The 27,887-nt window shown below is 41.9% G+C and overlaps 1 protein-coding gene across 5 annotated transcripts in view, besides 1 other annotated feature; it reads right to left on the bottom strand.

Annotated features, from left to right (window-relative positions):
* The window catches only part of CCNY (cyclin Y), a 325,643-nt gene that overhangs the window by 190,807 nt on the left and 106,949 nt on the right, over window positions 1-27,887 (bottom strand). The window lies entirely within an intron of this gene.
* Window positions 2,166-2,460: a silencer, noted in NCBI's record as "tiled region #1021; HepG2 Repressive non-DNase unmatched - State 19:H4K20, and K562 Repressive DNase unmatched - State 1:Tss". NCBI's record gives its function as "represses a minimal TATA promoter and a strong SV40 promoter by Sharpr-MPRA in HepG2 and K562 cells {active_cell/tissue: HepG2 | K562}" and the evidence as "EXISTENCE:reporter gene assay evidence [ECO:0000049][PMID:27701403]".

The raw sequence follows: 27,887 nt of genomic DNA, 5'->3' as shown, positions 1-27,887 counted from the left end.
TAAGGACTCTTGGACAAAAACTCCAAGTGATCAAACAGAGTGACAATTATAGTCATCAGTAACACTATCATTTATTTCAAATCTACTGTTTAAAAACAGATATACGTAATACTACAGAGTTAAATACACAAGACTGTCCTAAGCAAGCTTTCTGAACAATTCTAAAGTCTTAAGAAGTTACTCTGGAAATGAATGCAAGCAGCTGAATCCCCATGTGTTTAGGGCTAATCTGACACCAGGAGTGTCAGATTTAACCTCCATGTTGCATACAGTATTTCTTTTTTTTTTTTTTTTTGAGACGGAGTCTCACTCTGTCACCCAGGCTGGAGTGCAATGGCACAATCTCAGCTCACCGCAACCTCCACCTCCCGGGTTCAAGCAATTCTCCTGTCCCAGCCCACCCCCTCCAGTAGCTGGGATTACAGGCACGTGCCACCACATCCAGATAATTTTTTGTATTTTTAGTAGAGACGGGGTTTCACCATGTTGGCCCGGCTGGTCTCAAATTCCTGACCTCAGGTGATCCACCCGCCTCGGCCTCCCAAAGTGCTGGGATTACAGGCATGAGCCATGGCGCTCGGCCTACAGTATCTATTAAAGGCTAAGTACTCAAGAAGTACTCACTTGAAGCTTACGTATCTATTATTAAAACTCAATAAAGCAATTATTTAGAACACCAACAAAAGATTTTGGGGGAAAGAATATCACCGACATTGTTTAGAACTGCAGGCAAAATTCTAGACATTTAGACTTTACAGGCAGACTTCTGGATGCTTTTATTACTGTTATTAAATCCTCCACAGACAATGCACCCCTCATCACCAGCACTGGAGCAGACCACTCCCACCACCCCAGCCTTGGGATGCCGCTGTCTGCCTATCAGAGTTAAAATGGTACTCGGACGCTTCAAGCCCAGAAAGTCAGTTGCAAAAGAATCAAAAGAATAAAGGAAAGAGAAAAGCCACAGAAAATCACAATAAAAGAAACAACGAAGGAGTGAGATCTCTTGGTTCCACTTCTAGCCTGACCTCAGCTGACCGTGTATGTCAGGCAAACTTTAAAACTTCTCCAGGCAGTGCAGCAGAGAGGGTGAAGTCACAGGCGGCTGGCTGCGGACTGGGAGACCCCAGGCAAGGTTCTTAATCTCTCTGGGCCTGTCAGTTTTCTCATCTTCAAGAGAGGAAATATATTTGTATCTAACCCCAAAAGGCTATTGGGAGGTGATAAAAGTAAAGCATGTGAAGTGCTCTATATGTGATAGTTGTACCTGGGCAATATCTTAAAATTACTAAATCTGGGTGAAATATAGAGACTCATCGTACTATTATCTTTAATTCTGTATAGTTTTGAAACTTTCTGAAATAAATGTTTGAAGTTAGTTATTATCAGGTTCCTTAAATACAACACGTAAGAGAAATAATCACCTCCAAGGTCTCTTTGGGCTTTAAAACTCTCTGATACATTCCACACTGGAAGGATAGGATTCCCAGGTGGAAATCAGGAGTGGGAGAGAAAGGGAAAGACATTAGAGAAATAAGCTGTGACCACCAGTCACCTCCTCAAGTAATCACTGCATAATCAATGTTTCACACATAAATGCTTCAATGATTGGACCCTGAGCTGACTCCAAGCATTCATTACAAAATACAAACCAAAATGGGAGCAGCACTTCCAGATCCAAGCCCTCGAGGATCTAAGACTGGTACCTGGCAGCCTCCTTAACCCAGTATCTGTTGGAGTTCAAGTCCTACTCGCTTCCAAAACAACATCTTCCAAGTGTAACCTAACCAATATCTGGGACAGTGTTCCAAGTCCAAACGTTCGAAACACAAAGTAGTCCTCCCATACAAACTGTTGACTAGTTCACATTTTTTTACTGCGCTGAGTGGAATGCTTCATATGACAGCCTGGGACTGATGAGTACTAAAATTCCTGGAGATGACAGCTATGTTTCTCCTCCTTGTGTGGTAAAGTGGGATTTCAAAGCCTCCAATAGACGGCTCCATCATCTGTTGGCCCAGCTAAGTTTCCTCCCAACAACTCTCAGGGTAAAAGGAAAGAAGGGGTAGGGGGTGGATAAAGGCAAAGGCAAGCACGAGAGAATTCTCAGTAAAAGAAAGCAACATCCCTGCATTCAGGGCCTTCCTGCACCACATTATCTTCTTTTCCCACAAGCTTCGCTTTGTTCTCAATAGGCCAACATTCTAAATCAGCTGAAACACATCACTTCGTCACCAGGAGGAAATGTGGAGTTCCAGGATATGCAGAGCTGTGATCATGCAGACTTCAGCTAAGTCAACAAGTTCTGCCAGTAGCTCACTCAATCACTTCCCTCGCTGGTTCTAAGTCTTGAATTTAGAATCAAATTGCTACTTGCTAGATCCCTTGAGAAAAGATGTCATTTCCTGTAATACAGAGTCTGGCTCCATTTCTGACATCTGACTGCTGTTTTCAGGCCCCACCGCTCCCCACCTTCCCCTTCTGCCCCCATCTGGGCAAGCTGATAAGAAAGCCTGGGGCCCCCTCCTTTGGCACTTGCAGGAAGTTCAAACCATCCAGGTCCAGGGGGGCAGGGAAGGAAGCCTTCGACCAGCCCCAACCCCTAATCATGTAAAAGCCAAGCCAGTCTCCTTTCCCTGCTCTCTCAAGACACTTTTGGACCCGAGAGCCTGCCTGCTCTCCCCCAAAAGCTTTACTATGTGAATAATTCACCTTTTCTTACTCTCTTGGTACATCGTGAGGTCTCATCAGGCTGACACGTGAACCAAACTTTGTGTGGGTCCATCCCACCTCTGTACAGTGGCAACAGCATTTCCCAAAGTAAAAGACCCTGCATACTCCTTTCAACCTTCATCCAAAAATGCATTGGTGCATCAACTCCACCAATGTCTCCCTTGACTCTGGCCATGAGAAACCTCTGTCTCAGCTTCTCACCAATAAAGCAAGCCTAGTGCAGTTGCAAACAAACCAGCATAAGTTAGGAAGCAGAGGCTCAGGACAGGTACCCATTCCACCCCTAACTAACCAGATGACTCTAGACAATTCCACTGCCATTTCTGGGTCTCATTTCCCTCACCTACTAAAGAAGTGTAACAGTACACCCTCTGTGCCTAACTAGTAAGATCATGGTAAGGATCGAACGGGGCAGGATGTGGAACAGCACTCTGCAAGCCATCCTGACTCACACATATTCTAACTCCCCCAGCACGTCCCGGGCTTCATCTCCCTCGCCCAACACTCAGCTCTGCTCTTCTACTGTCCTTCTAGCTCCGTGCTCAAACAGAAAAACCCTCCTAACTTTTCTCAACACACATACACCCCACCCTAGCCAAAAAAGCAACCACCGAGGGCTCCGGTAACCTCTTCTAGGAAGTCACCCATATAGACAACTTAGCACCAGCACTCTATTCTCACAAATTCTCCCAAAAAATCCTTTTTTCTTTTATATTGTAAAACAGTCAAGATCACACCCGCTGAAGCCAACCAAAAAGACACAGGCTCTCATCACACAGAAGTCAGAATTCTGGAAAACTCGTATCTACCACCATGAGCTTGAAAGCTTCCCAATAATTAAGACTTCTGAGGAGGTCAGGGATGATATTAGCAAATGTGATTTTAGACAGAATAATGAAATGAGTCAATATTTGGAAGATCTGCATAAATTAGTGAACCAATACTTTCCCAAATGACAAAGCATGATGACACAAAATCTTGCATGTGGTAAAAGGTCCATTTAAAGTATAAGACAGATCAATAAACTTTAACATAAATGATTTCAGATTCCACAGTGCAACTAACCTTTAATAAATTACCATTTGTCACATTTTGAGGTAGTGTCAAAGAATATCCATGTTATCTTAAAAGTCCATAAAACAATACTCCTTTCTTTTCCAATCACATCTGTGTAAGGCTGAATTTTCTTCACATACTTTCACAAAGCAACATAGCACAAAAGACTGACACAGAAGCACATATGATGTTCTTGCTGCCTCCTACTAACCAGACATTAAAGATATAATAGAAATGTAAGGTAATGCTACTCTTCTTACTTAATTTTTTGTTTTGAAGATTTTTTAAAATAAAAATGTATGTTAACATATAATGGTTACATTATAATGTTATTTTTTAAATTAGTATATTTTTATTACAAGTTTTAATTTCTAATATGATATCTACAGACATAAAAATTCTTCTCTACAATTTCCATTATTGAGTTGTAATTCACATGCCATCAAATTCACCACTTAAATAGGTACAGTCATGCTTCCTTAATGACAGGGATATGTTCTGAGAAATGTATTGTTAGGTAATTTTGTTGCTGTGCAAACGTCATAGAGTGTACTTACACAAACCTAGATAGTCATAGCCTACTTCACACTTGGTTATATAGGACAGCCGGTTGTTCATAGGCTACAAATCTGTACAACATGTTAATGCCCTGAATATTATGGGCAATCGTAACACAATGCTAAGTACTTGTGTATCTAAATATAGAAAAGGTACAGTAAACATATGGTATAAAAGATTAAAAATGGTACACCTGCATAGGGTACCAATCATGCATGGAGCTTGCAGGACTGGAAGTTGCTCTAGGTCAGTCAGCAAGTGAGTGCTGAGTCAATGTGAAGGCTGAGGACATTACTGTACACTACTGTCAACTGTATAAACACTGTACACTTAGGCTACACTAAATATATATTTTTTTAAAAAGTAATTATACTATGACATTACGGCAACACTCAGCGATAGGAATTTTTCAGTTCCATTATAATCTTATGGGACCACCATTGCATATGCAGTCAATCCTTGACCAAAACATCATTATGTGGTGCCTAACTGTACAATTCAGTGGTTTTTAGTACATTCACAAAGTTGTACAATCATCACTGCTATGTAATTCCAAAACATTTTCATCACCCTAAAAAGAAACCCCAAACCCTTTAGCAGTCACTCCCATCCTCTTCTCCCCCCATCTCTGGCAACTACTAACCTACTTCCTGTCTCTATTAGATTTCCCTGTTCTGGACATTTCATATACGTGAAATCGTAATATATGTGGCTTTTTATGACTGGCTTCTTTCACCTACCATAATGTTTTAAAGGTTCACCCATGTTGTATCAGGTATCATTACTTCCCTCCTTTTAACGGCTAAATAATACAGGCTGAGCATCCCTCATCTGAAATGCTTAGGACCAGAAATGTTCTGGATTAAAGGCTTTTTCGGATTTGGGAACATATGCATTATATGCTTATCAGCTGGCCATCCCTAATACAAAAATCCAAAATCTGAAATGCTCCAATGAGTGTCTCCTTTGAGCATCATGTTGGCACTCAAAGTTTTAGATTTTGGAGCATTTCTGATTTTGGATTTTCAGATTAGGAATGCTCAACCTGTATCCCATTGTATGGATATACCACATTTTGTTTATCCATTCATCCACTGATGGACATTTGAGTTGTCTTCACCTTTTGCCTATCACCAATAATGCTGTGTACATTTGTGTATACATTTTGTATAAACATGTTTTCAGTTATCTTCGGCATACACCTAAGAGTGGCACTGCTGCGTCATACGGTAACTTCATGTTTAACTTTTTGATGAACTATCAAACTGTTTTCCTCAGTGGCTGCACCATTTTATACCAGCAATGTATGAGAGTTTCAATAATTTTTAACACTATACATGGTGTCCTGTGACCAAAAAGTTTAATAACTGCTGTGCCAGGTTGAGGGATGCTGAGATAAAAGTCTCCTTCCGTATGAGGTCATCATGTGCTACAGGAGCTCAGGCTTAGAGACAGAATACCTGAGCCACGACCCCTCAGAGCTTCCAAGGCACGGTACAGGGAATGACTTTACTGCACCCAGCCCACCCCAGGTATGAGCAGTCCTCCTTTCGGTGTCTTCCACTGGTGCCTGGGGCTCTCAAGCCACAATGCCCACCACTCTATTCTCACCCTTTTTTACTTCTCACCTCAGTGTGTCTTCTCTCCCTCTTGCTTCTGCTGAGCTCCTTCCACACACCTGTCAGGTCATCACGCCTTCGCCTCCTTTCCCTTCCTGATGCTAAGAACCTGCTTCACCTATAGACACAATTTCTCTCAACTCCTTGTAGGTTTTGTGCTGCTCCAGAATCCCAAGGGTAGACCCTCTGTGAGTGAGGTTTGCAATATTTATTACATCTGTGAGGCAGCAAAAACTAAGACTTCCCTATACTGAAAGCAAGCCTCTGGTGACTTCTGGAGAGAACAGTTTTCCTGAACTTCAGTACCCCACAAAATTCAAACAAGATGACTCAATACTTAGAACATTTCCCCATAACCTGTGAATATATTACCTCATATAGCAAATGGGAATTAAGGCTGCAGATGGAATTAAAGCTGCTAATCTGCTGGCTTCAAGGTAGAGAGATGAGCCCAGATTTTCCAGGTGGACCCAACATAATCACAAGGATCCTAAAAAGGGAGGCAGGAGAGCCAGAGAGAGAAGATGTGAGAACTCCATCTACCACTGCTGGCTTTAAAGATGGAGGAAGGGCCTGAAGCCAAGGAATGTGAGCAACTTCTAGAAGCAAGGAAAAGGCAAGAAAATAGATTCTCCCCTAGAGCCCACAACAGGAAACACAGCCTACTGAAAGCCTGATTTCTGCCCACTGAGTCCTGTGTCAGACCTCCAACCTACAGCACTATACAATAATAAATGTGTGTTGTTTACGCCACCAACTCTGTGGTAATTTGTTATGGCATCAATAGAAAATTAACACAGTATAAGTCCTTCTTTAAAAAAAAAAATGTACTTTAAAGAATCACCCCCTCCCTAGTCTCATACCCCAACTCATTTCATAAGATAGAGGCCCTGACCTGGCCACACTCTTTTCCCTTGAGATTGTCAACTTCCTTTCTTACAGTCTGAGAACCCTTTTTTCCATCAAATGACAAGCATCCGAGAAGCTGCATAGTATCACTTAGTGACAAGTGTTGACAATTTGCCTCTGTCTTCTCTGCATCCTCATTTTAACAATCCAAAATTTCTTCCATGGACAATTAGTTCATTTTCCATCCCCTTTTTTTCCCACTATCTTTAACATATGTAGCTACTTTTCAGAGACACGTATATTAGAATCTCTAGTATGCTATAAATACAAAATGATTCAGAGATATATTCATAAACATGGACACACCTGACAAACCAAGAAACAGTTCACAAAGACCACAGTTGCATCGCCATTCAATGGAATACTTTTAACGGGCTCAATGAGGAAACCATATCCCACCTGCAACTGCAAAACATCTCCATACAATATATTGGTTGAAAGTGTTGTTTGTCCCTAGTCTCTGCAACAAATAAGACACATTTTACAGCACTAAAAATTAATATGTACTCATTTATCACAAGATGAGAGATAAAACCCCTGTGACTGGCCGTGGAGATCAACAGGGCACTCTGATGAAACATTTATATTGGTTTGTCAAGTTCTCCTAGAGAAAGCTTCTTTTCCTGTTTCCTATGAGGAGACATCTGTGTTCCTGAGAAACTGGAAGGATTGGCTACCTGGAAACAATGTCAAATGTATTAAAAATTAATAAAAAAAATTAACCCCATGGTATCATTCCATCTCTGGCTAAACTATATAATATGTACACTTCACACAACTGCTGCACTAAAACTTCTAGGCCTCACCATTTGTTCTACAAAGGAAAGGGCCAAAAATATAAATCATTCAATATGTCCAGAGTTCTGTGGGCAAAAACAATGCAAAGGGGCTTTAATTGGGAAAACGCTGTAAGCTGCACCTCTTGCTATAAATGTTATGAACACCTTATTATGTGTCATTTCCAACCAGTTCCCAATTTTCAAAAAACTGTACAAAATGATACTTCCTTCTATGCAATTAACATGAAAAAAGTTATTTGTATGGGGCACTTGAGAAAACAAGTTAATACAGCTGATCTTTGAACAACTCAGGGGTTAGGAGAAACAACCCCTTCATGGAGTTGAAAATCTGTGTGTAACTTTTGACTCCCCAAAAACTTAACTAATAGCCTCCTGTTGACTGCAACCCTTACCTATAACACAATTAATACATATTTTGTATATGTATATACTATATTCATACAACAAAGTAAGCTACTGAAAAGAAACTGCTATTAAGAAAAATCATAAGGAAGGGAAAATAGATTTACTATTCATTAAGTGAAAGTGGATCATTATAAAGGTCTTCATCCTAGGCATCCACAGGTTGAAGGAAGATGAGGAAGAAGAGGGGTTGGTTTTGCTGTCTGCAGGGGAGCAGAGGCATAAGAAAATCCATGTATAAGTGGACCCAGTTATAAGAGGTATGCCGTTCCTCTTTACTATATATATAGACCCATGTTAGAAATACAAAGTAAAGTACACCATCCTTGCCCTCAACATAAGTGGGGTGGGAGGTGAGCACACTCCTCCACCACTCACCATCCATCCAGGTGCTCAACCCAACACTGCTGGGTGGCAAGGAATCCATTGCTGACAGCTGCAGCATGGTCTACTAAGCACCTACAATGGAGTCAGCCTAGGTCAAATGCTTTACAGGCTTTGTCTCATTTATTCTCCTAACAGCCCTAAGAAGTAGGTTTCATTATCCCCACTCTGTAAATTAATTAAATGAATAGAGAGACAGGATGCAATCACCCAAAACCGCACCAGGAAGAAGCAGGGCCAGGATTCAAACTCAAGACTGCCTGACTCAGGCTTGTCTTCTGATACTTCATTAAGTTTTCTTACTACATTTTATTACATTTAAAATTATCCCTGGATTTTAAAATCCTTTCAGTTTACAATCTAGCAGAGGAAATAAGAGCATGAATAAAAATAACCACAACTGGCCAGGCATGGTGCCTCATGCCTATAATCCCAGCACTTTGGGAGGCTGAGGCAGGTGGATAACCTGAAGTCAGGAGTTTGAGACCAGCCTGGCCAACATGGTGAAGCCCTGTCTCTAAAAAATACAAAAATTAGCCAGGTGTGGTGGCAGGCGCCTGTAACGCCAGCTGCTCGGGAGGCTGAGGCAGGAGAATGGCTTGAACCCAGGAGGTGGAGGTTGCAGTGAGCTGAGATCGCGCCATTGTACTCTAGCCTGGGCAACAAGAGTGAAACTCCGTCTCAAAATAAATAAACAACTGTAAGCAGTAGCTCTCTATGAAATGGGATACACAGTTAACTGACACAGAACAGACACAAAAGAGGAAGGTGGGGCAGGAAGGGCTGATGCCCAGCAAAAGTACAAGCCAGAGTGAGCAAAGGCACGTAATCAGGAAACAATGTAGGGAGTGCTCAGAGAATGACAAGTGGAATAGAGAGTCTGAGAGGGCCAAGAGTGAGAGAAAGGCCAGAGCTGGCTGAGCCACACTTCATGCATGACCTCCGCACACCCTGGAAGGCCCGAGGCTGATCCCAGGGACTCAGAGTGAATCGTCTAAGGATTCACAGGACTAAGACCACAGAAGACTGACTTTTGGAAGAGTAATCTTTGCAGAAACAATTCAGGCTGGCCCATGCGCACTGCTAACGCATTAAATTCCTCTCCCAATCGACAGAAAAAAATGAAGCCACCTGAATGCAGCCACTCCTCCTTGCTGTCCCCTCCTCTCCTTCCTCACTGTCAGGGTGAATGGGAACCCTGGAGTTCCCCCATCCTTTCCCTCCTCCAGAGTGACTCCTTTCATTATTTTGAATCTCTCCCTCTAACCTGGGCTTCATCCTCTGAGCCTTCAAAGCACATATGCATCTGCCAGTTGCAGGAAAATGTAAATATAAAACACAGTACCTGCCTTTTCACACCCCAGTCTCACACAGGAGTGGTCTGCCCTTGTTGCTGCATCCTTTATAACCTTGAACATCAGTAATTCAGCTTCTGTTCCCATTGAAATCTTTCAGAAACACACCAAACTGCCATCAATCACTCATGCAATCACTCATGCAATGAAACTTGCTCAGTCTTCATGGACTTGCTTAAGAACTCAGAATTGCTGATCATCCTCTTCATCTTGAAGTTCTTTCCTCCTCTGACTTCTGTGGCTGCTTCTCCCGGTTCCTGCCCTAGCTCTGACCACCCTTCTTGGTTTTCGCTTCTCCCCGTGCCTCACAGACACAAGTGCCACATGGCCCAGGGCCTCCACCCTGTGCCCCAGCTTCCCATGCCATGGGAACAGTTACAGCATCTCTACTGTGCCCCAGTCCTCCTCCCAAGCTGAGGCCTCACGTTAAAACTGTAGGGAGGATGAAAGCACCTGTCACAAACAGCCAGACTTGGTTGGGAAGGTCAGTATGAGACATTAAGAAAGGCAGGTGGAGGTGAGATCATGGAGAACCTCACATACAAGGGAAGGTCAGTGAAGGTCACTGAGAAGGAAAGTGACTTGTTCAAAGGAGTGTGGATGGACAACTAGCCTGGAAGGATTGTGAAAGATGGACCTAAAAGCAAAGAGATAAAGGCAAGGAAGACAACTAATCCAGGCTCAGTAAATCAAGGCAGGAACTAGTGTGGCCACAATTGAAATAGAAAGGAAGGAGAGGTCTCTTGAGAGTCCAAGTTAAATAACAAAGAAGTATCAGCTGATACAATGTCCAGGTCACCTCTCATCCGTCAGCCACTACACAGGTATCACGTTGCTTCTGTATCCCAGCACTGGGCTGGGCGGTGGTACTACCAACATGATCCATATAGTCCCTGCTTTGAAGGGACATACAGGCTACGTGGAGAAGTCAAGAAAAGAAATCCAGCCCTCTTAAAACCATTTCAAAGAACAGCAAGTAAAATAACCTAACAGACAATCAATAATGAACAAGTTTTAAGAGTTTTAACCTGGCCAGGTGCAGTGGCTCACGCCTCTAATCCTAGCACTTTGAGAGGCCGAGGCGGACGGATCACTGGGTCAGGAGATCGAGACCATCCTGGCTAACATGGTGAAACCCTGTCTCTACTAAAAATACACAAAATTAGCCGGGCGTGGTGGCAGGTGCCTGTAGTCTCAGCTACTCGGGAGGCTGAGGCAGGAGAATGGCATGAACCCAGGAGGCGGAGCTTGTAGTGAGCCAAGATGGCCCCACTGCACTCCAGCCTGGGCGAAAGTGCGAGACTCCATCTCAAAAAAAAATAAAATAAAATAGTTTTATCCAAGATCAGATAGTTAACCAAAGGAAGAAAAGTGTTGTAATAGGGAAATATAAGGCACTTCACACTACCTGGCCAGTCTCTGGAATAACTGCACACAATAAAAACAGAGCCAGAGAAGATTCCTAGTCATTATCATCCAAGGTCTATAGTTAGCTAAATTTATAATGACAATGTTCAATTTAGGCTTCATACTTAGCCTGTTTCCAGGCACAGAGCAAGTATACATAAACACCAAAAGAATATGGATGAGGAACGGCCGGGCGCGGTGGCTCACGCCTGTAATCCCAACACTCTGGGAGGCCGAAGCAGGCGGATCACAAGGTCAGGAGATCAAGACCATCCTGGCTAACACGGTGAAACCCCGTCTCTACTAAAAATACAAAAAATTAGCCGGGCGTGGTGGCAGGCACCTGTAGTCCCAGCTACTCGGGAGGCTGAGGCAGGAGAATGGAGTGAACCCGGGAAGCGGAGCTTGCAGTGAGCCGAGATCGTGCCACGGCCCTCCAGCCTGGGCAACAATGTGAGACTCCGTCTCAAAAAAAAAAAAAAACATGGATATGTGTAACAAACAATTTACTGTACATGTATATGCATATGTATATGCTTGAGGGTACTCTCAAGCTCATACCCTCACCATGAAACTCTGGGGTTACTGTGAAGCCTGTATGAACTAAAGCAGTGATTCTCAAACTTTAAGGCTTACTAAAAAATGCATGTCCTCCCATCTGATCCCTGAATATTTAAATAGTCATCCAGGTAATTAATTCTAATGCAGAGAATAAACAGGTCACCTTTTTAAATGTTCTTAAAAGTGGTTTACAAAATTTGGAGTTAAACGAGTCTTCATTCAAATACACTTTATTAAGGTATTTGGTCACCTCTAATAAAAATATTGATTAGAAATTAAAATTTATGAGGTCCAATTTACAAAATATTCACACAAATTGAGATAATGTGCAGAACAAGAAACATTAAGCAGCATATTAGTAGGCTTAATCTCAGAAACTTTTCCATTGCAAATTTGTATGTATCTTCAGCTCACTTAAGTGGCCGGCTCAGCACACTAATAAAAATCCTATGATAATCTCAGGCAAGATAAACTTAAATAGGGAAGAGCCTCAATAGAGTAGTTTTCTCAAAAAGGATATATTAAGCCAAGAATGTATTCTCTTAATTTATATTCTCATGACTCTTACCCATAAAAAGTTGACTGGAATTTCTTCTGTGTCTTCTGAAAGCAAGAATCCAAGTTCTCAGGGATTACAAAAACAGCTGTTTAAGTCTTTCCTAAGGCCACAACTTCCCTAAACCGTGTGGAGCTTTGCAAATGTAGTAACGAATCCATCACTGAAACCAAACAATGTTCATGCCCTTAATAGTTTGGCAGATGCCTCTGGCAGGAGGAAATACGGTCCAAGGTCACAAGTGGGACCTCAAGCCTCACCATCCTGCTCTGTTCCTGTCCCGCTGATGCTCACACAGGAGTGGAAATCAGGACAGGCACAGTCACCAGCACCTCACACACTCTTAATGAATGCTGTCCACAGTCTACTGCAAGGTCATTTCGGCCTGAATATTTATCAGTTCAGACTGCTTTTTGAATGTTTGGCCCTGGACTACTTCCACAGAGCAAGCAGGACAGATCTCCACGATGTAAATCACCAGGAAGTTCCTCAGAGTAATAGGCAGGTTACTGCTGCTCCTTCCTGTACACCAGAAAAGTGGAGAAACTGAACAACTTCTGAAGCCAAATAGTGATAAGATCTCAGAAGTGAGCAGTGGAAGTACAGAGACCCTGCTCACTAGGCCCAGCCCCACCCTCCCAGCCTCACTTCCTCTGGTACCTCCGAGCACCGGTTAAGAAAAGCCAAGGAAAAGGAACTCTGCAGCCCCTTTGAGGATCTATCTCTGATTTAGGACTCTCCACATCAGAAAGCTTCTACCTTATTCCCAAGTTGGAAGGGCACTCCTATGCCACACCGCCCACCCCACAGCGGCCTGCCCTGACGCCTGGGGCCGGGCTATAGAGCAGTCAATGCCGGAGGGAGTCACCCAGGCGCTGACACCCCCAGGAGGAGTCACTGTGTCTCTGGAGAGCACTCCAAAAACACCACGAAATGTGGATGCGAACAGTCCAACCTGGGAATGCTTTCACTAGCAGAGGTGTGCCTGTGACATCTGAACAGAGTATAAAATGACAACCGCCATGTACCACATACATGAGAATAATAACATGAGCACTTGGTAGCAGATAAAGAATGGCAAAAAAGTTTAATTTTACATTAGAAAAACTAATAAAAGCCTACCAGTTCAGCTGAAAATGCTTTTTTCCCTCTGCAAATTAGAAAAAGATTATGATCATTCCATTTTAGTGCAAAGCAGTTTCTGCAAATGAAAAACACTGCGACACAGTCCATAAATTAATACTAAAGCTGAGGATGGAACTTGAAGCCCAGAAAACTGAACAAGACTCACCGAAGGTCATGCAGCTAAAGACTAAGCACACATTATGCCAGGTCTCCAGATTTCTGGGCAGGTGTTTTTCCACTACAAAGCTGATTTCCCAAATAAGCAGTTCTCGTTGTTCTAACAACCTCCAGGCAGAAAGACTCCACAGCCTCAATTGTAATCAATTGCAGACTCTATCCAATCTTTCAAAAGTTTCCTAGCATATGCACCTAAGTCATTCTTCAGAGAATTTTAACTCGTTTCTAACAGACTTCCAAGTATGAGCCAAACACCTTAAGCCAGCATTTACACTCCAAAGTTTTTAAAGAGGTGTGGGAGAGGGGCAGTATGTATGTGACTACTTCTTGTGCCTCATTAGGAGTATAGGCAAAATTAGAGGTCCCATGAGAGTCAGTTTTGTTAAACGAAATATTTCACATCCAGTAATTCAGACATGCCTTTTTCAGGTTTAGGAAAATTACTTTTGTTTAACTGCAGACCTGCAATAGTCTCTAAGGGGAAGAGGCACTGACATGGGCGCACGCTGACAACCCTACCCAGCTCCCAAAGACACTGCTCCAGGCAGCAGCAGGAAGGTGTGCTCTCACAAAGTGACTTCTATGGCGGAAGCCACCCTGGGAAGTCAGCTGCTTTCAGATCTGCATTCCAGAGAGGTTTAACCTGTCCCAACTTTTAAAGTGTCTGTTTTATTCTATAAAATCCATGAGATGTAGACCCATGTTATCTCACAAGAAATGACCTTTACCTAACAATATTATTAATAATAACTAATATCTATTGAGCACATTTACTTTGTACCAAGCACTTTATCTTATTTCATTTTACACCCAAAATAATTCTACAAGGTAGACATTTTTACTGTCCCATTTTACAGAGAAGGAAGATAGGCACCAGGCCCAAGGCTCCCAGCTAGTGCATGGTGGAACACTACAAAATAGAATACTATACAGTCTATAAAATAGAATACTATACAGTCATAAGGTAGTATAAAGTCATAAAGTAGTCTATAAAATAGAACACTCTACAGTCATTAAAAACAATGAGACAGAAGTGTGTTTACTGACATGAAAAAATTTATGTAAAAAAAGCAGGTTTTAAAGTGGTACCCAAAGAGTACCTCTCAAAAAAGGCAACCCAAAAGCAAGGAATCAGCATGGTAACATCATTTCCACACCAAGTCAATCAAAATGCTTATAAAGGGAATTTTATATGAGAACAACAGACAATTCAGTTATACTGTAAATGTCTGTGTCCATTCCCTCCTTCCACACTTAAATTGGCATTCCAGGTAGACCATTCAAGGAATTAGCAATGGTAGCCCTCAATCTGTGCTGCCTAATACAGAAGACTCTAGCCACACGTGGCTATCTAAATTTATTCTTTAAAATTAAGTAAGATTTAAAATTCAGTTCTTCAGTCACACTAGCTACGTTTCAAATGTTTGACTGCCACACGTGGCTAGTGACTACCACATTGGACAGTGCAGATATATAACATTTCCATCATCACAGAAAGCTCTAATAACAGTGCTGCTGTAGAACAAAAAGAGTGAGTTCCAAGAGGGTAAAATGGGGTAGAACTAGCGAAGACTGGAAATGCAGCCCAAATGTCCAGCTGAATGTCCACACTCAGCTACAGCATGGGCCTAGGGAAAGCAACTGCTGAAAAACCTTGGAGTCTCCCATCTCTGTTAATACAGATAGCACTAATAACTTATAATAAACATAAATCAAGAACACAAGTAATATCCTTTAAAGTTGAAATCTGCAAATATTAGACTTAGTCCAATGATGCAGGAACCACAAAAAGATCTGTACTATTCTTTGGAAATAAATTCAGAGCCAGTTCACTTATCTTTTAAAAAACTCATTTCTTAAATTTAGATTCAACTCAGAATTAGAAAGTCTGATCACTCAATTTATACATGAAGCCCCAAATCACATGCTGGTGTTTCCAAAATAAAAGAATCTAATTTATTCTCAAAAGGCAAATGATTGCCACCATCTCATCAAGGAAACAAATGTGTAACAAGCTAAAATGAAATTCTGTGATATTTTTAGAAAGCCAATCACCTCATTTAGAAGCACACACTGCATGTATGTTTGCAAATTGGTATCTGTCGTGTATTTATGCATATATTCATAACACAGAAAAAGAAAAAGAAGTCTGCATTTACTAAACATACTCTAACAGCATCTTCATCCTCATGAGATACAGCAACAACTCTCAATTTTTCAGGTCAATGAAAATGAACAAGGATTTCAACCATCCAAATAGAAGAGAATCTCTGTCCATTCCCTAGACACACACAAATCACTTGTCTCTGGTTTTGCAATATACACTAATAACTTTGTAGCTGTAGAGTTAGTCTAATCATTTTTTAGCTTATTTTGAAATAATTTTCAGATAACAGAAGAACTGTGAAAATAGTTCAGTTCCCATATACCCTTTACCCAGCTTCCTCTAAGGTTAATACCTTTTATAGCCATAATATAAGTTTCTAAACTAAAAAATTAACATTGGTACAATACTATCCACTAAAGATTTTATTTATATTTCTAACCATTTTCTTTTCACCTAATACCATACTAAACTGGCAGTTTCTAAGCATACAAAGATTAAATGGAAAGAAGTGACAATCTCAAAACCCATCAAAGTTAACCAAAAACATCCTAATTTGCGATAGGTAATCCAGGAGCAGGTAACATACAAATAAATGAGAACTTTAGCTCTTGCTGTTTATTCTTCTGCAATTTTTTAATATTCAACATTTTTTCAAGTAGTAGTAGGAAACACAGAAATAAATGTCTCCTCATTTTGAATTTGGAAAACAAAGAAGAAATGAATCTATGTATTGGCTTTAAGATATTAATACTGCAGTAAAAACAGCAACCACTTTTTTAAAGACACAAAGCAAGTCTTTATATCATGAGGACAAGTTAAATATAAATACATCTTCTTCTCTAGCTGAGTATCAAATTTATGTTACTCTTGCTTTCTTTCAATTTCAAAAGTCCTCCAGTGAAGATAACCAATGTCCTACAGAAAAGATAGCCTATCTCATGTATAACTCCATAAACGTTACCAGCTCAATAAACATTACCAGATTAAGTTTGAGACAGGACTGGCTGTTAAGTATGGAGCCCAGTTATAGAAATCTTTCACTTGCACTTGGAATTTTCCACCTTCCAAAGTCCTAAGTCCAAATTCCAACACGAGGAAATACATTTGTTTAAGCCTACTGATAGTTAAACATGCCCTAATTGGTTCATTTCAAAAGCATATACATGGTGAGCTTGGACTTAAACCAGCACTAGGAAAATGCACAACAGAAAATTTCCACACTTAGAGAAGGGCTCAATTCTCACTTAGAACCATTTCCCAATCAGATTTATACAGGCTTTGCTTTGGTGAAGACTTTGGTTTGTAATAGATGGTTTTTAAAATTGCAGTAATTATAAGAATGAGCTATTAGGCTAATCCATAAATAACTCAAACTTCTGAAAAAAACACTAAAGGAGTAGCTGGAAAAAATGAAGTATAAAAACACAATTCACAGAAATGAACTGCCTAATAAATATATTAATGCAGGTAATGTTCCCTATTGAAGCTGACTTTCACAGAAGGCTTCAAAACTCTTTATAAATAAGTATGTCATCTCTTAATATTTTATACTTTTATGAACACACTCAAAGAGCATCCTACTGGCATATGTGCCCCCACCACAACACTATTTTTAAATTAAATACGTAACATTATTTTAAACTAATTTAAAAACATACATCTGATGGTCAGCAGTCAGTCCTTCAATGTATCTAATGACAGGTGGGACAAACAGCATGTAAAATTCAGTTAACTTTCTGTTATTGGTGTTAATGTAGACCAATGCTACCTTGAAAAAGGTAAGAATAACCAAAAAGAAGCTTTTGTTAAATCTATATATTTGAATTCCACTCCTGCTTGCTCCTTCCATTGTTTAGACGGATGGTGAATTACGGGTGAAAGGGCTAAATGACCAGAAGTCACGTGAGAAATGAGATCTAAGGATCCCAAACCACCAAGAACTGCTGTAAATACACATTCTCATCAAGTAAGTTGACTATTAATCCAGATCCTTCCATCATCTCTTTGACACCACTTTGGAGATCAGAACACTCAGATCTTTTTCCATTACTGGAATTAGAAAATTATATTCTCAACAGTAACATATTAAAATAAAGTTTGTAAACACAAATATCCCTTAACATTGAGCAAGACTGTATAAACCTGTTCAAACCCAAAATTATTACCCTGTCCCTCCTCAGAGCCAATCTTTCTCCGCTCTTCTCCAATATCCATACACTAAAAGCATGTTCATTCAGTTACCCTGCCTCCAAAGACTCAGGGTCAACTCTGAATCCTCCCTCTCTCTGCACCTTCAGGCACAAAATTATATTGCTGGTTCACTCACTCTTTCAACAATGATTTCATACCTACTCAGTGCCAGGTAGGCAGGGAATACGAAAACTTTTAAAAGCTTTCCTCTGACTGACAGTGTCAGTCTCGGGGAGGTCGTGGGGCGGAGTGACAACACCAGACTTGCTTCTACAACTCCCTTTCCAATCCAATAACCCCACTACACAGAACCAACAGAGCTGATCTCACTGATTCAGTCTTTTCCCATTCCCATCTAGTTCCCACATCTCCAGCATATTAATCTTCCAGGGTCACTTTGATCAGGTAAGCCTACTACCCCAAAATCTGGTATCCCCGCCTCTACCAGGCCGCCCCACCGTCTGGGAAGAGAGGAGCACCTCTGCCCGGCAGCCCCACCGTCTGGGAAGAGAGGAGCACCTCTGCCCGGCCCCCCAACCACCTGGGAAGTGAGAAGCACCTCTGCCCGGCCGCCCCACTGTCTGGGAAGAGAGGAGCGCCTCTGCCCGGCCCCCCAACCGTCTGGGAAGTGAGGAGTGCCTCTACCCAGCTACCGCCCTGTCGGGGAAGTGAGGAGCGCCTCTGCCGGCCACTCCACCGTCTGGGAAGTGAGGAGCGCCTCTGCCCAGCTGCCGCCCCGTCGGGGAAGTGAGGACCACCTCTGTTGGTCACCCTACCGTCTGGGAAGTGAGGAGTGCCTCTGCCGGCCACCTCACAAGCTGGGAAGTGAGGAGCGCCTCTGCCCGGCGGCCCACCATCTGGGAAGTGAGGAGCGTCTCCGCCCGGCCGCCGGCGGCCCACCACCTGGGAAGTGAGGAGCGTCTCCGCCCGGCCGCCGCCCTGTCTGGGAAGTGAGGAGCGCCTCTGTACGGCCACCGACCATCTGGGAAGTGAGGATCGCCTCTGTCCGGCTGCCGCCCTATCTGGGAAGCAAGGAGTACCTCTGCCTGGCTGCCCCACTGTCTGGGAAGTGAGGAGTGCTTCTGCCTGGCCCCCCCGCCAACTATCTGGGGAGTGAGGAGCGCCTCTGGCCGGCCCCCACACCCTCTGGGATGTGATGAGCGCCTCTGCCTGGCCGCAGCCCCGTCTGGGAAGTGAGGAGCGCCTCTGGCTGCTGTGCAACCCTCCAAGTGTGAAGTGACAGCCTTGTGTGTGATCTTTCTGCCCTCTCCAAAGTTTGCATTTTTGACATTAAAGTTTACTTTTTAATTAAAAGTTTTAAATTGGAGAATTAAAAAAAAAAACTGGTACCCTCTAGCTTGGCATTCAGGTCCCTACACGACATGGACCTCTTAGGCTGCAAGTGGCCCAAGCCTCGTCTGGACTATCCTCCCTGTCTTTAAGTAAATTCAGTTGCCAAGACCCAAATACATCCTGTACTTTGTCACCTGGAGGACTTTCCTACTGCCTTCCCTACTGCCAGAAATGTTCTATTTGCAAGAACCACCCAACCAAAAGACCCAGTACTCAATCTCTCTCTCCATGAAACTGTCCCAGATCACCCAGGCCAAAAGTCACCTGTTCCACCTTGCACATCTTATTGCACACTCTTTTTTATTTGATTTTAGCACCTACTTCTGTACAACATAGTATGTATCACATGCTGCCTTAAATGATAATGTATATATAGGCTGAGTCTCCCTTATCCAAAATGCTTGGTACCAGAAGTGTTTTGGATTTCAATTTTTTTTGGATTTTGGAAGATTTGTTTAAACTTGGGGATGGGGCTCCAGTTTAAACATAAAATTCATTTCTGTTTCACATTCACCTTATACACATAACCTGAAAGTAATTTTATACATTAGTTTTATTTTGTGCATGAAACAAATGTGTGTACAGTGAACCATCAGAAAGCAAAAGTGTCAGGTGTGCAATTTTCCACTTGTGGCATCATGTTGGCATTCAAAAGGTTTCAGATTTTGGGTGCTGAAGTGTGTGTGTTGAGGGGGCAAACATTTTTAAAAGGTTTCAGATTTTGGAGCATTTCTGATTTCAGATTTTCAGATCAGGGATGCTCAGCCCCATACTTCTCATTTTCACAATTACAATTTAGTGCTCCACAAATCAGAGGCCATGTCTTATATATCTTTGTAATATCTACATAATGTAATATGGTTCTCAGTAGATGCTTAATATTTTCTTAGAGAATTAGTGAAGACAGTGAGCAGAATGCCGATTCTCAGACCCATATTAAAAGTTAATCACATGCACCTGAAAAATAACATTCAGTTCCTGCCTACTCAGTAAGTATCAAAAGTTTCATTCCTTTGTCTCATAAAGTTGACTTTTAGAAATAAGGAAATGCCCCCCACAGGCAAACAAAATATTATGTATGAGTTTTTTAAAAAATTAAAAGAAAAAACCTAAAGAACCAAAATCTAAATCTAAGCACTCAATTAATGCTAGTATAATTAGTACTGTCATGATTAAATAAATTGTGGAATTGATGTACCTTGTATTACCTGTGGTAATTAATAATCATGTTTTAGAAGATTGTTTAGAGGCAACACTTTTATAATAAGACAAAAAAATTATAAAGTCATATTTAAAGCATGGTCCCAATTATGAAAGAAATATACATCCACAGGTATATATGTAAACACAGATAACATATCTGAGAGAAAATGAAACAATAAATAAGTGGATGAATAAATACCTGCATTATGGGCCAGGTGCAGTGGCTCATGCCTGTAATCCCAGCACTTTGGGAGGCCGAGGCGGGGGGATCACAAGGCCAGGAGTTCGAGACCAGCCTGACCAACATGACGAAACCCCGTCTACTAAAAATACAAAAATTAGCTGGGCATGGTGGTGGGCGTCTGTAATCTCAGCTACTCATGAGGCTGAGGCAGGAGAATCATTTAAACCCGGGAGGCAGAGGCTGCAGTGAGCTGAGATCGTGCCGTTGCACTCCAGCCTGGGCGACAGGGTGAGACTCCATCTCAAAACAAAACAAAACAATCTGCATTTTGGTAAATCCCCACCATAGAAGCTTGATTAATGTGTCTGACTCAGAGACATATTAATATATTATCAAATTTTCTTTAAGTTATACATTGTATATAATCATATACAGATGAGTATTAATGTTCATATTAATATTAAAATACTAATGTAAAATTTTAAAAACAAGCATTGCTCTGTGTGGTAGGATTACAGGTAATTTTTTCTATATACTTTTTTAAATTTTCTAAAATCAAGGAGGGAAATAATAAATACTACTTTTAAAAGATAAAATTTAGGCAGAGCACAGTGACTCACACCTGTAATCCCAGCACTTTGGGAGGCCAAGGCAGAAGGACTGCTGGAGCCCAGGAGCTCAAGACCAACCTGAGCAGCACGGCAAGACCCCATAGCTACAAAAAAAAATCAGCTGGGCATGGTGGTGCATGCCTGTGGTCCCAGTTACTCAGGAGTCTGAGACAGGAGGATCGCTTAAGCCCAGGAGATTGAGGCTGCAGTGAGCCATAGTCACACCACTACACTCCAGCTTGGGTGACAGAGTGAGACTCTATCTCAAAAAAAAAAAAAAAAGAAAAGAAAAGAAAGGAAAAAAAAGAAATTTAATTTTAAAATTCCAGTCATCCCTTTGGCCTCATAAGGCCCATATAATATGGTGATACAGCTATTAACATTAAGTAACAATACAAATTCACCAAAAACTAAGATTTCAGTCCTTCCAGCAATTCCACTTCTGAGTACATACCCAAAAGAATTGAAAGCAAGAACTCAAACAAATGTTTCAACACTCGTGTGCCTAGCGGCATTATCGACAATCACCAAAAGGCAGAAGCAACTCAACTGTCCAACAAGAGATGAATGGGTAAACAAAATGTGATATATCCATACAATAAAACATTATTCAGCCTGAAAAAGGAAGGAAATTTTCATACATGCAACAACATGGATAAACCTTGAGGACATTACGTTAAGTGAAATAAGCCAGTTCCAAGAAGGCAAATATTGTATGGATCCACTTATATGAGGTCCAAATTTAGGCACCAAAAGAATGGTGGTCACCAGGATCTGGGGGGATGAGGAAATGAGGACTTGGGGTTTTTTAACAACTTAGCACGGAGTCTCAGTTTGGGAAGAAGTAGTTCTGGAGATGGATGGTGGTAATGGTTGCACAGCAATGTGAATGTGCCTAATGCCACTGAGCTGTACACTTAGAAATGGCTAAAATGGGTGTGGTGGATCACAACTGTAATCCCAGCACTTTGGAAGGCCAAGGCGCGCAGATCGCTTCAGCTCAGAAGTTTAAGATCAGCCTGGGCAGCATACCAAAACCCTGCCTCTACAAAAAAAAATAATAATAATAATAATAATAAATAAAGAGTTAAAATGGTAAATTTGATGTTATATTATACCACAAATTTGTTTTTTAAACAAATAAACAAAAAACACAGCCATCTACAAATAATGAGGCAGTATCTGCCACAGTCCAGTGGCTCCAAATATGTACAGGGAGAGCCTGAACCAGGATTCTCAAACCAATGACAGCCATGTTTACATGTCAGATATAAAGAGGAGGCAGACAGAAAACAGGCCCCAAGAACAGCCTGATTCACACAACAGCATCTGTCGACCCACAGAGGGGACAGGACAGGGGGAGGCAAAACAGCTGGGGAGTAACACTGAGAGGTGATGTGATTATCTGTTATGTGGAGACATCAGTCACACTACAAGTCCAAAGAAGTACAGGGGAACAGCTCTGCCACAAATCCCTGGCAGTCCGCACTTACCTAATAAGCCATGTAGGCAAGGCCTGAAGCACAGATGCTTTGTCTGTCTTGGAAGAACACCTTATGACCCTCCAGGAACACAAAAGAGAGGGATGCTATGTCAGCGCCCACTCACCTCCCTACTTCCCTGGCAGCCGACGGGAGACAGGTCCTCATTGCCTCCTGGGTTCTGGTGAAGCATGGGGCTTTCTGGGCATCCCTTCACCTGGCCTCAAATAAGGGTCCAGAACATAAACCCACTTAGCTGCCATCTGGATCTAGCTCCTCAGGAGCCGGAATCCTGTGGCTCACGGTCATCAGCTGTGAGTTTCAGTGTCACCCTTCTTGGTATGCTAGACAAGAACTACAGGAAGCTGGCATCTTTGCCTTCTTCTTCTTTTCTCTGTCTCTATAAGTAATTAACCACCTAAATCTACAAGTGGCTTGTTGTATCTACAGGTCAGGCCTTTTTGGCCCTTGACTTGTCTCAAGTGTGAGCTTGACAAGAAGTGGTCATAAATGGCACCGACTCACTACTGCTACAAATTAAATGGTAATCTTTACCCATGAGCAGGATAAGGAAGACTGTTAGTTGTGAAAATTAATCTTTTCAACTTCATTTGTTCCTATATGCAGTACAGTCTGGTCTTTCTCCACTGAATCCTGCCATCCTTGAGAGCAGATACATAACTCTCTTCTACTCTCTTGTGTGATTCTCTCCAGCTCCAGGTAGAATGCTTTATGCACTGGCAGTATTCAATAAATATGTGGACCACCTCACACAATGCTATTCTGTCCCTGAGCTACAAGCAGACAAGCTGCTCCTCTTAGATTTCACAGAAACAGCAAGAAAAATCATGAGTTTAAAAAAAAAAAAAAAAAAGACTTGCTTAAGGTCACATTTGTAGGTATCATGAATGAGTACAGATGTTATGGTGGTGTTCTGTAAAGGGAAGTATGACATCCATACTTCTTGCGGGGGGCAAAAAAAGCAAAAAAGTGCATTTTCCAAATCAAGAGAAAAATGATTTCTAAAAAGCAAATGTCCTGCCAGAAATTAAGGAAGCACTGAAGGAATGATAAGGACATAGCAAAAGAACACAGCTTGAAAAGAAACCAGTTTGAAGAGGCTCCCACCAGTCAAAGTTTGGACAACTTAAGCAACAAAAAAAAAATAATAGATTAAAACTCAATGAAATAACAATCCATGACCCATACTGATCAATATATAAATGATGAGAAGGGAGAGCTTTTCCTTACAAGAGAATGCCTGCTAATAGATACAGAAGGACCTAAAAAACCGTCAATGGATACTAAAACTTGTGAGTGAAAGTTTGATAAGAAATCGAATATTTACAAAGTCTAAATCTCCCCACAAATTACTTATTAATTACAAAGGAAAAAGCAGCAACAGTACACTGAAGAAACCTAGAATATGACACAGCTTCACAAAGTGATCAAAGTTAGCATCCCCAATGCTGGGATAAACAGACACGTGCCTTCTGACACGAGGCACTGCTTCTACCAAAAATACATAATCTGAATCTAATCCAGAGGAAACACTAGACAAAGTCAAATTGAGGGATATTTTACAAACTGACCAGTGCTCTTTAAAAATGCCAAGGTCTAGAAACACACATACAAAAAAATGTTTGCTATGTGTTAAATGAATGCAGCACTTCTATTCATTCGAGTATTTCCTGAGAACTACTATATGCTAAGTACTGTGTTAGGTGATGGAGGCATCGTAGTGGGCAAGACATGTCCCTGTCCTCATTGTGTTTCTATTCTGGGAGTGGGGGAAACACAAGCAACAGGCAAATAAGATAATTTCAGACTGTGGTAAACATTACCTCATAAAGGTAAAGTGACTGAGCGTGATGGGGCTGGGGCTGGGGCTGGGGCTGGGGCAGGGGCAGGGGCAGGAGCAGGGGCTGCTCTCTCTGGATTATGTTCTTAGGAAAAAACCTGAACAGGTGATGCGGGGTGATGCGGGATGCCCAAAAGCCAGCCAGGTGATGAGCTTTGGGAAGAGCATGCAGGGCAGAAGGAAGAACATCTGTACAGAGCCTGAGACAGACAAAGTTGGAAGCTTGAAAAACACTGGGAGGCCCTTGTGCATGGAGTCACAACGAGAAAGGAGGTTTACATGGCAGGCAGGGGACAGACACCAATGACTCTGAGCCACGGGGAGGAGTATGTATTTACTCTAACCACAACAGAAGCCACTCAGGGATTGTGAGCAGGGCAGTGGCATGATCAACTCCTCATCTGTTAAGGAGAGAGAGAGAGGATTATAAGAAAGAATAGTTTTAAGAGAATGGATCACAGTAAACCATAATAAGAAGCTAGAAAAACTTGTTGCATCTTCCCAGCAATCGTTGCAACTACAAAGCCCAGTCTTTTTTCCCTATTAGGTTCTCAATGTAAGTAGCAGCATTATTGCCAAACCTAAACCCACAATAGCAGAGTATGAGTAAAACATGAAGAGGTTAAGGAGTGGGCGCAGATTTTTCTGAAGAAGCACCACCCAGCCAACCATGCTAGGCTCTGTGGACCCACCCCATGTGAAGCACGCTTCCCGTTGCCACATCCACGTCCTCAAACATGCGCTACAACACCAGCTACCCCCACGCGGAGTCATGGAGAATTGGGGGCTGGGAACAGAGCTGTTTACCATGTGTTAATTCCCAAAACCACTGCACCAGTCTCAACTTTTAAAATCGGATTTTGACCAACAAAGCAACATCTTAAGATGTACAAGCATAAGTGTTTACCATACACTAACATGCTTTAATTGCTGCTACTGCTGTACTGCTCAGATCCAACTCCAAGAACAAAAATGAAAACTACCCAACTATGCAAGTGGTAGACTGTCTTTAGGTTTCACAGGATTCTTCTGACTTATCTACAAAGCAAAAAGAAAAACACCTCCAGAAAAGGCTTTTGGTTTCTATCTTTGTAATACAAGCTTTCTTGCAGCTAAGCCAGAGTGTGCATCATTTTAAAGTGCCATGGAAGTGAACAAGCATGCAAAAATGAAAATAAAAACCTTTTCTGCATCTTTGTCATCTATTGAAATCAACTGAAGCCAAAAGCAAAACCCTATCAACACACTAAATGGGCAGTTTTAGAACAAAAAATGGTAATTTCATTTCAAGTTACATAAGCTGCTAAAAAAAAAAACAATCTAAGATAGGAAAGCTGACAGATGTTCATGGCATAAGAACATTTTAAAAAGTTGTTAAACCTGGAATTTATAAGGGGCAACTAAAGAGAGAGAGAGAAATAGTACTTACGATAATCAGTAAGTTTTCCAGGTTAATACTAGTCTCAGAGACATTTTTTAAATAATTAATATAGAAAACCTTGCTTTTCCACTAACATTCCTCTTTTTTTTTTTTTTTTTTTTTTTTTTTTGGAGACAGTATCTTGCTCTGTTGCCCAGGCTGGAGTGCAATGGCGCAATATTGGCTCACTGCAACCTCTGCCTACTGGGTTCAAGCGATTCTTCTGCCTCAGCCTCCCGAGTAGCTGGGACTACAGGCATGCGCTACCACACCCAGCTAATTTTCATATTTTTGGTAGAGATGGGGTTTCACAATGTTGGCCAGGCTGGTCTTGAACTCCTGATCTCAGGTGATCCACCCGCCTCTGCCTCCCAAAGTGCTGGGACTACAAGGCAGGAGCCACCGCACGCAGCAGGTTCCTGTTTTTAAAAGTGTTTCCTAACTTAGCCTTAACTTTACTTTTACCCAAATTAATTCATTTTAGCTCTACTATGCTTGGGAATCCCTGAGGGAAAAAAATCAAATATGGATTTTAAAAATATATATTTGAGAAAATTATTTCCAAATGCTCTTCTCTGAAATTTGCTGTCCCAACCATTCACTAAACCCCTCCAACTTCATCCCCTTTATCCATCCCTGACAACACACAGGAGAGTAAGGCTCCTGCACTCATGTCCGTACCCCAAACCTAAACCTTGACCCTGCTCACTGGACAACTTTCATAGGGGGAGCCATCCCACTAGTGGGGCAAAGGAAACTCAATCCTCTCTCCTGGGACACAGAAATTCTTCCCATTAGTCTTTTATGGTCCTAGAACCACTGGGGTGGCCATTTTCCACCATGTGTAGACAAAGAAAAATAGCTATTTTATAAAGAATAAAGATTAAAAGAAAAATAAATTTGAGACACCTGAAACATAAGACTGACTTAGAAAGATAGGAGAATTTACTATTAAGATACTGAAGGAGAAAGCTGCCTCAGTTCCTACAGACTGTCCACCTTCCAAGTCCAGTTCCTCATGAGACTTAGTTATGCTCCTCACCCTTTGTCTCCATGAAAAATCCTCAGATCCCATAGTTATTCTCTCTCCCACTCCCCGTCTGTTTTGCGGAAGTCAGTTTTAGTGAACTTCTGTTAAACACAATGAACAGAATCTTAATCCATGTTTGTCGTGGGCAGCATCCAAGATGGGCCCCAATGTATCTCCTGGTATTCACACTCTTGTATTAATATAATACTGTCCCCTCAACTTAATGACTTGATTCTATCAAATAGCAGTGACGAAATGTCACTTCTAAGCTCAGGTTATAAGACTATGGCTTCCAGCCAGGTGCGGTGACTCATGCCTGTAATCCCAGCACTTTGGGACGCCAAGACGGACAGATCACTTGAGGTCAGGAGTTCGAGACCAGCCTGGCCAATTTGTGAAACCCCGTCTCTACCAAAAATACAAAAATTAGCCAGGCGTGGTGGTGGGCGCCTGTAATCCCAGCTACTCAAGAAGCTGAGGCAGGAGACTCTCTTGAACCCAGGAGACAGAGGTTGCAGTGAGCTGAGATCCCGCCAATACACTCCAGCCTGAGCGACAGAGTGAGATGTCATCCCAAAAAAAAAAAAAAAAAAAGACTATGTATGGCTTCCATCTTGTGGGTCTCTCTTGGTCTCTCCTGCTCTCTCTTGGATCACTTGGTCCAGGGGAAGCCAGCTGCCCTATGGAGAGGCCAGTGTGGCAGGAAACTGATGTATCCAGCCAACAGCCAGTGAGCACCTGATGCCTGCATTGGCCACGTAAGTGAGCCTGGAGGCAGTTCCCCTAGTTGAGCCATGAGTTGACT

Source organism: Homo sapiens, chromosome 10 (assembly GCF_000001405.40).
Source record: "Homo sapiens chromosome 10, GRCh38.p14 Primary Assembly".
NCBI classification, from domain to species: Eukaryota; Metazoa; Chordata; class Mammalia; order Primates; family Hominidae; genus Homo; species Homo sapiens.
Note: the sequence above shows the minus strand (reverse complement) of the source record. Positions and strands in the feature narration are given on the sequence as shown.